General features: G+C 45.2%; 1 protein-coding gene across 5 annotated transcripts in view, besides 1 other annotated feature; it reads left to right on the forward strand.

Moving 5' to 3' along the window:
* Positions 1–14,164, forward strand: part of TCTN2 (tectonic family member 2) — a 37,287-nt gene that overhangs the window by 9,120 nt on the left and 14,003 nt on the right. For 4 of the 5 annotated variants that reach the window (NM_024809.5, NM_001410989.1, NM_001143850.3 and 1 more), the window contains exons 6-9: positions 6,604–6,803; positions 7,819–7,945; positions 10,301–10,442; positions 12,426–12,491. In NM_024809.5, the coding sequence (NP_079085.2) occupies positions 6,604–6,803; positions 7,819–7,945; positions 10,301–10,442; positions 12,426–12,491 (535 nt within the window). Of the gene's footprint in view, positions 1–6,603; positions 6,804–7,818; positions 7,946–10,300; positions 10,443–12,425; positions 12,492–14,164 lie in introns of those variants that run through there. The other variant, XM_047429553.1, reaches the window with a different exon arrangement.
* Positions 1,407–1,456: an enhancer, noted in NCBI's record as "active region_7274". NCBI's record gives its function as "activates an Ori minimal core promoter by ATAC-STARR-seq in GM12878 lymphoblastoid cells {active_cell/tissue: GM12878}" and the evidence as "EXISTENCE:reporter gene assay evidence [ECO:0000049][PMID:35858748]".

The following is a 14,164-nucleotide window of genomic DNA, read 5'->3' on the forward strand; positions in this document are numbered from 1 at the left end:
TCCCAGCTACTCTGGAGGCTGAGGCAGGAGAATCGCTTGAACTAGGGAGGCAGAGGTTGCAGTGAGCCAGAATTGTGCCACTGCACTCCAGCCTGGGCAACAAGAGCGAAACTCCGTTTCAAAAAAAAAAAAAAAATCACACAACTTTTGAGTAAATTTTTTTTTTTTGAGACGGCCTCCTAAAGTGCTGGAATTACAGGTGTAAGCCACCATGCCCGGCCTGACTTTTTTTCTTTTAGGCTTAGAGCAATACAACATATAAACTCTATTTTCTTTCTTTTTTCTTTCTTTTTTTTTTTTTTGAGACAGAGTCTCGCTTTGTTGCCCAGGCTGGAGTGCAGTGACACGATCTCGGGTCACTGCAACCTCCACCTCCTGGATTCAAGTGATTCTTGTGCCTCAGCCTCCCGAGTAACTGGAACTACAGGTGTGCGCCACCACACCTGGCTAATTTTTGTATTTTTAGTAGAGGCGGGGTTTCACCATGTTGGCCAGGCTGGTCTTAAACTCCTGACCTCAGGTGATCTGCCTACCTCGGCCTCCCAAAGTGCTGGGATTACAGGAGTGAGCCACTGCACTGGGCCTAAATTCAGTATTTTCTTATCTGGCATAGTCAGTCTAGTTTTTGGAAGAAGGAAAGAATATCTCTTTGGATAAAATCATGATTGTGAAGATCATACTGGGGGGATGGTTTTAATAATATTTATTCAGAAACCTTTAAGAAATATAAAAAAAGAAAGAATAAGAAAGAACAGGCCTGGCGAAGCAGCTCACGCCTGTAATCCCAGCACTTTGGGAGGCCGATGTGGGTGGATCACTTGAGTTCAGGAGTTGGATACCAGCCTGGGCAACATGGCAAAACCCCATCTCTACAAAAATTAGCTGGGCATGATAGTGCAGGCCTGTAGTGCCAGCTCGGGAGGCTGAGCTGAGAGGATCGCTTGAGCCCAGGAGGTCAAGGCTGGAGTGAGCTATGATCACACCACTGCATGTCAGCCTAGGCGACAGAGCAAGACTCTCTTTCAAAAAAAAAGAAAGAAAGAAAGAAATCACAGGTTTTCAGTGATTTTTAGTAAATTTACACAGTTGTACAACCATCACCACAATCTATCTTCAGAACATTTCTACCACCCCAGAAAGAAATCGTGTGTCCCTGTAGCCGTTCCTATCTCCATCCCTCATCCAAGGCCTCCGTGAATCTGCCTCTGTCTCCATGAATTTGCCCATTTTGGACATTGCACGTATATGGAATCATGCAATATGTGGTCTTCAGTGACTTTCTTCTTGCACTTAGCATGATGCTTTTAAGGTTCTTTTACCTTGTAGCAGCTGTTACCACTTCATTCATTTTTGGTGTTTGAATCCTATTCCATTGTATGGATATATCACATATTTCTTATCTATTTATTGGCTAATGGACATTTGAGTTGTTTCTGTTTTTTGGCTATTATGAATAGTGCCGCTGTGAACATTTGTGGACAGGTTTTTGTGTGAACATATGTTTCCATTTCTCTTGGGGATATATATAGTGGAGTTGCTGGGTTGCGTTATTACTGTATGTTTAACCTTTTGAGGAACTAGTTTCTGAAGCAGTTGCATCATTTTAAATTCCCATCAGCAATGTATGTGGGGTATAATTTCTCTATATCCTCACCAACAGTTGTTATTATTTGTCTGTTTGGTTATAGCCATGTTAAGTAAGTGTGAACTGATATTTCTTTATGATTTCCTTCTTTGTTTTTTTCTTTAAATTTTTGAGACAGGGTCTTGCTCTGTCGCCCAGGATAGAATGCAGTGGTGCAATCACAGCTCACTGCAGCCTCAATCTCCCAGACTCAAGTGATCCTCTCACCTCAGCTTCCCAAGTGGCTGGAACCACAGGTGCACACCACCACACACAGTTAATTTTTGTGTTTTTTTGTGAAGGTGGGGTCTTGCTGTGTTGCCTAGGCTGGTCTACAATTCCTGGGCTCAAGCAATCCTCTGGCCTCAGCCTCCCAAAGTGCAGGGATTATAGGCGTGAGCCACCATGCTCTGCCCTCACTGTGATTTTGATTTATATTTCTCTAGTGGCAAATGATATAGAAGATCTTTTCATGTGCTTATGGGATATTTGTATATCTTTTTTGGAGAAATGTCTGTTTATACCCTTCACCCGTGTTTTAAATTGGGCTGTCTTTTTGCTGAATTGTAAGAGGGTTCACTATATATTCTGGATTCTAGTTTCTTTTTTTTGTTTGTTTTATTTATTTTTTATTTATTTTTTGAGATGGAGTTTCGCTCTTGTTGCCTAGGCTGGAGGGCAATGGTGTGATCTCGGCTCACTGCAGCCTCCGCCTCCCAGGTTCAAGCGATTCTCCTGCCTCAGCCTCCTGAGTAGCTGGGATTACAGGTGCGTGCCACCACGCCTGGCTAATTTTTATATTTTTAGCGCAGATGGGGTTTCACCATGTTGGCCAGGCTGGTCTCGAACTCCTGACCACAAGTGATCCGCCCGCCTCAGCCTCCCAAAATGCTGGGATTAGAGGGGTGAGCCACTGTGCCTAGCCAGGTTGTCTGCTTTCTTGTTGTTGTCCTTTGAGGCACAGACATTTAAAAATTTGATGAAGTCCAATTTATCTCATTTTTTTCTTCTGTTGCTTGTATTTCTGGTGTCATATTTCAGAAACCATTGTTTAATCCTGGCGAAATACACATTTAAAATTTTTTGGCCGGGCTCAGTAGCTCACGCCTATAATCCCAGAACTTTGGGAAGCCGAGGTGGGTGGATCACCTGAGGTCAGGAGTTCGAGACCAACCTGGCCAACATGGTGAAACCCCATCTGTACTAAAATACAAAAATTAGCTGGACGTGGTGGCCGGTGCCTGTAGTCCCAGCTATTCCGGCGGCTGAGGCGGGAGAATCACTTGAACCCAGGAGGCAGAGGTTGCAGTGAGCCAAGATCGTACCACTGCACTCCAGCCTGGGCGACAGAGTGAGAGTCCATCTCAAAAAAATAATAATAATAATTTTTGATTAACCTTTTTTTCTGATTCTATTTATTTATTTATTTTTATTATTATTTTGAGACAGAGCCTTGTTCTGTCACCCAGGCTGGAGAGCAGTGGTGCCATCTCCGCTCACTGCAACCTCTGCCTCCTGGCTTCAGCATTCCTCCCGCCTTGGCCTCCCAAAGCGATGGGATTACAGGAGTGAGCCACCATGCCCAGCTAATTTTTTGTGTCTTTAGTAGAGATGGAGTTTTGCCGTGTTGGCCAGGCTGGTCTTGAACTCCTGGCCTCAAGTGATCTGCCCACCTTGACTTCCCAAAGTGCTGGATTACAGGTGTGAGTCACCGTGGCTGGCCTTTTCTTATTTTTATTTTTAACCTTTCTTTTTTAACCTATCAAGAAGAAGCACTGAAGCACATTTAAAATTTTTTTTGAGACGGAGCCTCGCTCTGTTGCCCAGGCTGGAGTGCAGTGGCACGATCTTGGCTCACTGCAACCTCCGTCTCCCAGGTTCAAGCGATTCTCCTGCCTCAGCCTCCCAAGTAGTTGGGATTACAGGCGCGTGCCACCATGCTCAGCTAATTTTTTGTATTTTGTTGTAGAGATGGGGTTTCACCGTATTAACTAGGGTGGTCTTGATCTCCTGACCTCGTGATCCACCCACCTCAGCCTCCCAAATTGCTGGGATCACAGGCGTGAGCCACTGCACCTGGCCACAATTTTTGTTCTTATTTAAATTTAAGGGGAATGAGAACTGCAAAAGAAGAAATTTACTGGTACCCAAGTCCCAAGTCCCTCTCGTATTTGGGTGAGGACAGTTAATGTTTCATTGGTTTTTTACTTCCCCACTGGGAAATGCAAACTTATTTTTTTAAAACAGCTTCACTGACGTATGATTGGCATAGAAAAGCTGCAGATATTCAAAGTATCCTTGAATATGTGTTTGGAGATAAGTACACACCCATGAGCTCATCCACGCAGTCAATACCATATGCTTTCCCCTCACCTCCAAAGGTTTCCTTTGGTTTTTTTGGTTGTTGTTTTGTTTTGTTTCCTTTTGTGGTGAAAGCACTTAACATAAGATCTACCCTCTTAGCAAATTTTTAAGTGTCCTATCATGGTTGGTTTCACTAAACAGGAAAGGGAAGTTTAGGGTCTGCATTAATATTGTCATTCTTTTTTTTTTTTTTTTTTTAAGACAGAGTCTTGATCCGTCGCCCAGGCTGGAGTACAGTGGTGCGATCTCGGCCCGCTGCAACCTCCGCCTCCCGGGTTCAAGCAATTCTTCTGCCTCAGCTTGCTGAGTAGCTGGGATTACAGGCATGCACAACCACACCTGGCTAATTGTTGTATTTTCAGTAGAGACGAGTTTTGCCATGTTCACCAGGCTGGCCTCGAACTCCTGACTGCAAGTGATCTACCCACCTTGGCTTCCCAAAGTGCTGGGATTATAGGCGTGAGCCCCCACACCTGGCCAATATTGTGATTTTTACACTAAAAATTATCCTAAGAACAATTAAATTTAATTAAAAGAGTAAAGTACAGCGGCCGGGCACGGTGGCTCACCACTGTAATCCCAGCACTTTGGGAGGCCGAGGTGGGTTGATCATGAGGTCAGGAGATAGAGAACATCCTGGCCAACATGGTGAAACCCCGTCTCTTCTAAACATGTAAAAATTAGCGGGGTATGTTGGTGGGTGCCTGTAGTCCCAGCTACTCAGGAGGCTGAGGCAGGAGAATCGCTTGAACCCAAGAGGAAGAGGTTGCAGTGAGCTGAGATCGCGCCACTGCACTCCAGCCTGGGTGACAGAGCGAGACTCCATCTCAAAAAAAAAAAAAAAAGAGTAAAGTACATCATACATTTGGCTCAGGTATCATTAGAATTGTCAAATGGCCCCTCCTTCTCTTCCTTCCAGGCCACGCTGTGTCCCATGTCGGACTCCCTTTTGCATGTGTTGTGCTGTGTGCTACAGTACCAGCCCCTGACGTCCTTTAGTATTCTGGATCAGTGACATCTTCAGATAACCACAATGCAGCAGCACTTTATAAACAATCAATTTTTAATTTGAATTGCTCTCGTTTCAAATGAGAGATCACTTCTCTACTGTCAATAAACAAAGATTCAGGACGTAATTTAACTTACAGCTCTCTGGATCCTTCGTGAAACAAGGAAAAATACAGATGAATATCTGAATCAAGTAACTTCTTTTTTCGAGACGGAGTCTTGTTCTGTCACCCAGGCTGGAGTGCAGTGGTGTGATCTCTGCTCACTGCAACCTCTGCCTCCTGGGTTCAAGTGAGTCTCCTGCCTCAGCCTCCCAAATAGCTGGGATTATAGGTGTGTGCCACCACGCCTGGCTAATTTTTTTATTTTTAGTAGAGATGGGGTTTCACCATGTTGGCCAGGCTGGTTTTGAACTCCTGACCTTAGGTGATCCGCGTGCCTCAGCCTCCCAAAGTGCTGGGATTACAGGTGTGAGCCACTGCGCCCGGTCTTTTTTTTTTTTTTTTTTTTTTTAAGAAGCAGGGTCTTGTTCTGTTGCCCAGGCTGGACTTCAGTGGCCCAATCATGGCTCACTGCAGCCTCAGCCTCCTGGACTCAAGCAGTCCTTTCCTCAACCTCCTGAGTAGCTGGGATCACAGATGTCCACCACCATGCCTGGCTAATTTTTTTTTTTTTTTAATTTTGTCGGGGCTGAGTCTCTCTATGTTGCCTAGGCTGGTCTCAAACTTCTGGGCTCAAACATTCATTCCACCTCAGCCTCCCAAAATGTTAGGATTTCAGGCATGATGCACTGCGTGCAGTCCAAGTAATTTATTTATTTATTTATTTATTTATTTTGAGACAGAATCTCACTGTGTTTCCCAGGATGGAGTGCAGTGTGTGATCTTGGCTCACTGCAACCTCTGCCTCCTGGGCTCAAGCAATTCTCATGGCTCAGCCTCCTGAGTAGCTGGGATTACAGGTGCCCACCACCACACCCGGCTAATTTTTGTATTTTTAGTAAATATGGGGCTTCACCATGTTGGCCAGTCTGGTCTCACACTCCTGACCTCAAGTGATCCACCTGCCTCGGCCTCCCAAAGTGTTGGGATTACAGGCGTGAGCCCCTGCACCCAGCCCCAAGCAATTTCTTGATGACATTAATTGGGTCGTGTTATAATCTAGTGAGGGCCTGGAGGATCCTTGTGGAATATGGAACGTTTCCCCTCACTCTAAATGTCTGGAGGCTTTTCTGGGCTAAGGGTTTGAATGGTAATGACAATTAAGAAAGGAGGTTTACTATGTTTTTGTCTTCATTTGAGATCTATTCTGTACTATCTTTTCTTCTTTTGTTTTACTGGGAATATCTCATGTCCTTGGTAAAACTGTGGTTCCCCTGAATGCTTGGAGTTTCTGACTTGAAGGCTTATTTGGGGAATTGACAAAAGAAATTCCAGAACTATTTTACTTTTTGTGGGCACAAGGCACTTTTAGATGAGACACAGATTATAGGTTTTCTTGCTTACTTGGTAGTGTCCTGCTGGCCTTAAATAAGAGTTAGCATTCGCTACGCTTGCCAGGAGATCCTGACCACGGTCACAGCTCCTGCCTTTATGTTTGTCTTCCAGGAATGCTCATCAAATTTAACAACGCTGTTCAGACGGTCCTGCTTCACCGGCGTGTTTGGAGGAGACGTCAATCCTCCTTTTGATCAGCTCTGCTCTGCTGGGACGACGACACGTGGTGTCCCCGATTGGTTTCCCTTTCTGTGTGTGCAGTCCCCCCTTGCCAACACACCCTTCCTTGGTTACTTCTATCATGGTGCTGTGTAAGTGTCTGAGCAGCCGCCTGGGATGGGGCATTGTTCTCCCGCCCTGGTGGGGCCATACTCTAGTAGGCCCTGCAACGCGGTCACGTTTTTCCCAACCCCTCTCCAGAGGTTCCGTGCCTAAAGGGTTCAATTCTAGATTTCAGTTAGCCAATTTATTTTGCATTATTTGGAAGAATTGGGCCTCATTGAAAAGAAATTGATTGACATTGAAAACAGCTCATGGTGCTTTTCTAGGGGAGGTGAAGGAGTGGTGGCTCATGGGAGATTTTAATGTTCTGTATTTTACAGTTTGGGATTGTTAAAAATTTACATCTATGATTTTTGTAATTAAAAAGTAGGCCGGGAGCGGTGGCTCACGCCTGTAATCCCAGCACTTTGGGAGGCCGAGGCGGGCAGATCATGAGGTCAGGAGATCGAGACCATCCTGGCTAACACAGTGAAACCCTGTCTCTACTAAAAATACAAAAAATTAGCCAGGCGTGGTGGCACGTGCCTGTAGTCCCAGCTACTAGGGAGGCTGAGGCAGGAGAATGGCCTGAACCCGGGCGGCGGAGCTTGAGCTGAGATCGCGCCACTGCACTCCAGCCTGGGCGACAGAGCGAGACTCTGGCCCAAAACAAACAAAACAAAACAAAGTAAAGAGGCTGGGTGCAGTGGGTCACGTCTGTAATCCCAGCACTTTGGGATGCTGAGGCAGGGTGATCACCTGAGGTTGGGAGTTCAAGACGAGCCTGGGTACGTGGTGAAACCCCATCTTTACTAAAAATACAAAAAATTAGCCAGGTGTGGTGGTGGGCACCTGTAATCCCAGCTTACTCGGGAGACTGAGGCACAAGAATTGCTTGAACCTGGGAGGCGGAGGTAGCAGTGAACAAAGATCACGCCACTGCACTCCAGCCTGGGTGACAGAGTGAGACTCCATCTCAGAAAACAAGAGTAAAGAACAACATTAAGGAAGAATTGTGTTTTAGCAGATAACTGAAACTATTCAGCCTTTCTTATTGATTTTCAGTTCCCCCAAACAGGACTCTTCCTTTGAAGTATATGTGGATACTGACGCAAAAGACTTTGCAGACTTTGGTTACAAACAAGGAGATCCCATTATGACTGTAAAGAAGGCATATTTTACTATTCCGCAGGTAATCGTTGCAATATTAGTATGCTAGACCGTTCTCTTTTTTTTTTTTTTTTTTATGAGACGGAGTCTCGCTCTTACCTCCTAGGCTCAAGTGCAGTGCCAGATCTCGGCTCACTGCAACCTCTGCCTCCCGGGTTCAAGTGATTCTCCTGCCTCAGCCTCCCCAGTAGCTGGGACTACAGGTGTGTGCCACCGCACCCAGCCAATTTTTTGTATTTTTAGTACAGACGGGGTTTCACCATGTTGACCTGGATGATCTCGATCTCTTGACCCTGTGATCCTAGTGCCTCAGCCTCCCAAAGTGCTGGGATTACAGGCATGAGCCACCATGCCTGGCCACTAGACCCTTCTTTTATTTTTCCTGTCCTATTGTTAATTTAAGTCATATTTCTCTTTAAAATCTCTTTTTAAGTTACTTACTTTCCTCCTTTCTACCTTTCAGGGACTTAACTGTTTATGTTCTCCAAATTAATAAAATATATAGTCACTCTTAATCACTGTCTTTGCTTAAAACTCAGAGTGAACTTACAAAATAAAACCAAAAGATTTTCTATAAGTTTCCATGGAAGTACCTATCATTCTTTTTCTTTTTTTTTGAGACAGAGTTTCGCTGTTTTTGCCCAGGCTGGAGTGTAATGGCACAATCTCAGCTCACCGCAACCTCTGCCTCCCGGGTTCAAGCGATTCTCCTGCCTCAGCTTTCCCAAGTAGCTGGGATTACAGGCATGCACCACCACGCCCAGCTAATTTTGTATTTTTAGTAGAGACGGGGTTTCTCCATGTTGGTCAGGCTGGTCTCGAATTCCTGACCTCAGGTGATCTGCCTGCCTCAGCCTCCCAAAGTGCTGGGATTACAGGCATGAGTCTTTTTTTTTTTTAAATTAAAAAAATTTGTTTTGGTTTGAGACATAGTCTTGCTCTGTCACCTAGGGTGGAGTGCACTGGCGTGATCTCAACTCCCTGCAGCCCTGACCTCCCACATTCAAGTGATCCTCCTACCTCAGCTTCCCAAGTAGCTGAGACTACAGGCACATGCCACCATTCCTGGCTAATTTTTTGTAGAGGTGGGGTTTTGCCATGTTGCCCAGGCTGGTCTTTTTAACTTCTGGGCTGAAGTGACCTGCCCACTTTGGCCTCCCAATGTGCTGGGATTACAGGCTTGAGCCACCGCGCCCAGCCAAAAATTTTTCTGTAGAGATGGGGGTTTCACTATGTTGCCCAGGCGGGTCTTAAACTCCTGGCCTCGAAATTCTTCTGCCTTGGCCAAAGTGTTGGGATTACAGTGTGAGCCTTGATGCCTGGCTAGCAGTAACTATCATTCTTTGCTTCTTTTTCTTTTTATATTTTTATTTTAGGTTCAGGGCTACATGAGCAGGTTTGTTATATAGGTAAACTTGTGTCATGGGGTTTTGTTGTACAGATTATTTGTCACCCAGGTACTAAGCCAAGTACCCAATAGTTTTTTTCTGATCCTCTCCCTCCTCCTACTCACTACCCTCAAGTAGGGTCCGGTATAAAAAACAATGGTTAGATAAATACATCATTTTATTTACCATTCTAGAATTTTGAAAAATATTTTAAGGCTGTAAGGTTGTATATGGAATCATTTGTATATCTATATATGAATGCACAAGTGAATGAATGACAGGGTCTTGCTCTGTCGCCCAGGCTGGAGTGTAGTGAGTGTAGTCACAGCTCACTGCAGCCTCCATCTCATGGGCTCAAGCAATCCTCCCACCTCAGCCTCCCAAGTAGCTGGGACTATAGGTGCATGCCATTATACCCGGTTAATTTTTTACTTTTTGTAGAGACAGGGTCTTGCTATGTTGCCCAGGTTGGTCTTGAACTCCTGGGCTCAAATGATTCTCCCACTACAGCCTTCCAAAATGATGGGATTACAGGTGTGAGCCACTGCTCCCAACCTGAAATCTTTTTTTAAGTTCAACATTATGAGGAGTGTTATTTGTGGGAAGAAAGCATGGGAGGTGAAAATTTCTCTTTCCTATTCATATGAATCCATTTTTATGGTATTAAACTCTGGTTGTGATGAGGGAGAGAACATGAAGTTAAATATAGTCATGTCTCTGCAAACTAAATAGAACAGGACAAGGGATTTTCTTTGTTTTTATTAGACAATATTTACTGTGACTCCACAACCAGTGGCTTCCAGACCTTGATGGGCAAATCAGTTAGATGTTTTGCTAAAGCGGGTCAACTAGTCGGTGAACTTGCCGTTGCTGAAACCAGACCAGCAATGGGAGCAGGCTGCAGAAAGACCAGTTTTAAGGGATGCTGATCTGTTTTGTATGATTAGGAGAGAGGCCATAAATCTGTTGGCTTTGCCCTTCTCCCTCAGGTGTCCCTGGCTGGGCAGTGTATGCAGAACGCCCCAGTGGCATTTCTTCACAATTTTGATGTTAAATGCGTTACTAATTTGGAACTATACCAAGAACGAGATGGTATTATCAATGCGAAGATAAAGAATGTTGCCTTAGGAGGTATGTTACATTTCTTTGAAAAAAGAACACAGGCCCAAACATGAATATAAAGTATGATCTCATGAGAGTATAAATCATTTCTACTGGTTCAACTTCAAATAATATTTGAACTGCCAATTATTTTCTTTGGAAAAAGTTTAGTTCCGTAAGACAGCATATTGCATATTAATTATTTTGAAATTGAAGTAAAATTCAAATAACATAAATTTAGCCTTTTTGTTTGTTTCTCCGTCACGCAGGTTGGAGTGCAGTGGCGTGATCTCGGCTCACTGTACCCTCTGCCTCCTAAGTTCAAGCGATTCTCCTGCCTCAGCTTCCCGAGTAGCTGGGACTACAGGTGCCTGCCACCATGACTGGCTAATTTTTGTGTTTTTGGTAAAGATGGGGTTTCACTGTGTTGGCCAGGTTGACCTTGAACTCCTGACCTCAGGTGATCCACTCTCCTAGGCCTCCCAAAGTGCTGGGATTACAGGTGTAAGCCATCGCGTCCCACCAGAATTAACCCTTTTAAAGTGTACAATTCATTGACATTAGTACCTTCCACACTGTTGTGCCACCATCACCTCTCTCTAGTTCCAGAACGTTTCATCGCCTCAGAAGGGCATCTGTACCCATTAGCAGTCACTCCCTACCCCTCTTCCCTCAGCTCCTGGCAGCCACCAATCTGCTTTCTGTCTCCGTGGATTGCTTATTCTGGGTGTTCCCTAGAAACAGAATCATACACTATGTGGCCTTTTGTGTCTGGCTTCTTTCACTGAGCATGGTGTTCCATGGTTCATCCGTGTTTGTAGTGTGTGGCAGCACTTCATTCCTTTTTATGGCTGAATCATAGTCCATTGCATGGACAGAGCACATTGTGTTTGTCCATTCCTCAGTTGATGGACATGTGGGTTGTTTTCATCTCTGACTGTTGTGAATAGTGCTGCCATGAACACTCGTGTCCAAGTTTTTGCGTAGATGTGTGTTTTTATTTCTTTTGGGTAGACACCTAGGAGTGGAACTGACAGGTCATGCTAATATGACTTCTTGAGGACCCACCAAATTGTTTTTTTTTTGTTTTTTTGGTTTTTTTTTTGAGAGGGAGTCTTGCTCTGTCACCCAGGCTGGAGTGCAGTGACGTGATCTCGGCTCGCTGCAACCTCCACCTCCCTGGTTCAAGCGATTCCCCTGCCTCAGCCTCCCAAGTAGCTGAGATTACAGGCATGTGCCACCACACCTGGCTAATTTTTTTTTTTTTGAGACCAAGTCTTGCTCTTGTCCGCCAGGCTGGAGTGCGATGGCGCGATCTCGGCTCACGGCAACCTCCACCTCCTGGGTTCAAGCGATTCTCCTGCCTCAGCCTCCCGAGTAGCTGGGATTACAGGCACCCACCACCACGCCCTGCTAATTTTTGTATTTTTAGTAGAGACGAAGTTTAGTAGAGATGGGATTTCACCATGTTGGCCAGGCAGATCTCGAACTCCTGACCTCAGGTGATCCACCCACCTCGGCCTCCCAGAGTGCTGGGATTACGGGCATGAGCCACCACGCCCGGCTAATTTTTTTGTATTTTTAGTAGAGAGGAGGTTTCACCATGTTGGCCAGACTGGTCTCAAACTGACCTCAGGCAATCTGCCTGCCTCGGCCTCCCAAAGTGCTGGGATTATAGGCGTGAGCCCCTGCGCCTGGCCAATTGTTTTCTACAGTGTCTGCACCATTTTGTATTGCCACCAGCAGTGAACTGCATATTTGTTTTTATGTCACAGTGACCCTGGTTTTTGTTTGTTTGTGTGTTTGTTGTGGATTTTCTTCCTCCGTTATAATTAGATGCTAAGAGGATGGGGACTCCTATCTGATGGTTTTTGGGGAGTGGGGAGGGTTTTGTAGTCAGCACCCTGGGCAGTTGCGGTCACCATATTTGCTTTGTAAGCTATACTTTGAGTAAGTGTGATCATGGTAGGCCATGTGTACGCCTGTGGAAGTTAATTTATGTTATCTCTTTAGGCATAGTTACACCAAAAGTGATCTATGAGGAAGCAACTGACCTAGACAAATTCATCACCAATACAGGTATTTAATGTTACACTTTGACGTCATTTCTTCAGAAACAGATATGTCATTTCTTACAAGTAATATATACCCTCAGAGTGTATATTTTTGTTAGTCATTTAAAAAGGTTCACAATAGTTAGAAAGATCTGCCAGGAACATTTCATTTGTTCCTCGTTCTGTCCTGCTGGGCTTTAGAGTGCTCTCTGTGACCTTGAGCCTGCTCCTCCACAGTCCTGGATTCTCTGAGTTCCACCGACCCTTCTAGTTCCAGCTTCCGTGAACCTTTCCTTAAATGTTTGATAGTTAAATAATTCTTTTTTTTTTTTTTTTTTTTTTTTTGAGGCGGAGTTTTGTTCTTGTCACCCAGGCTGGAGTGCAATGGCATGATCTCGGCTCACTGCAACCTCCGCCTCCTGAGTTCAAGTGATTCTCCTGCCTCAGCCCCCTGAGTAGCTGGGATTATAGTCACCCGCCACCACACCCAGCTAATTTTGTATTTTTAGTAGAGACGGGGTTTCTCCCTGTTGGTCAGGCTGGTCTCGAACTCCCGACCTCAGGTGATCCACTTGCCTTGGCCTCCCAAAGTGCTGGGATTATAGGTGTGAGCCACCGCGCCCGACCAGTTAAAAGAACTTTTTAGGGCACAGCATTTTCACTTTTTGCTTTCTTTCCTTTTTTTTTTTTTTTTTTTTTGATAATTAAACTTTCCAATTGTGATGCAGCCAAATAAGTTACGTAGAGTTTGGCAGATTTTTTTTTTTTTTTTGAGATGGATTCTTGCTCTGTCACCCAGGCTGGAGTGCAGTGGTGTAATCTTGGCTCACTATAACCTCCACTTCCTGGGTTCAAGCAGTTCTCCTGCCTCAGTCTCCCAAGTAGCTGGGATTACAGGTGTTCACCACCATATGCCTGGCTAATTTTTGTATTTTAGTAGAGACGGGGTTTCACCATGTTGGCCAGGCTGGTTTCGAACTCCTGACCTCAGGTGATCCACCTGCCTTGGCCTCCCAAAGTGCAGGGGTTACAGGCGTGAGCCACGGCGACTGGCTCAGTTTGGCTAATTTTACCAGAACTTTAGTTTTTAATGAAGGATACTGTTTGTTTCTTTCTTTTCTTTTTTTTTTTTAATTGGAGACAGAGTCTTGCTCTGTCGCCCAGGCTGGAGTGCAATAGGGTGATCTCAGCTCACTGTACCCTCCACCTCCCAGGTTCAAGCAATTCTCATGCCTTAGCCTCCTGAGTAGCTGGGATTACAGGCACCTGCCACCAATCCCGGCTAATTTTTGTATTTTTTTGTATTTTTTTTTTTTTGAGACAGTCTCACTGTCACCCAGACTGGAGTGTAGTGACACAGTCTCCACTCACTGCAACCTCTGCCTCCTGGGTTCAAACGATTCTTCTGCCTCAGCCTCCCGAGTAGCTGGGATTACAGGTGCCTGCCCCCATGCCTGGCTGATTTTTTGTATTGTTAGTAGAGAGGGGGTTTCACTGTGTTGGCCAGGCTGGTCTTGAACTCCTGACCTCGTGATCTGCCTGCCTCAGCCTCCCAAAGTGCTGGGATTACAGGCGTGAGCCACCGCACCCGGCCTAATTTTTGTATTTTTAGTAGAGACAGGGTTTCGCCATGCTGGCCAGGCTGGTCTCGAACTCTTGACCTCAGGTGATCTGCCCACCTCGGCCTCCCCAAGTGCT

Source organism: Homo sapiens, chromosome 12, assembly GCF_000001405.40.
Source record: "Homo sapiens chromosome 12, GRCh38.p14 Primary Assembly".
In the NCBI taxonomy this organism is placed as follows: domain Eukaryota; kingdom Metazoa; phylum Chordata; class Mammalia; order Primates; family Hominidae; genus Homo; species Homo sapiens.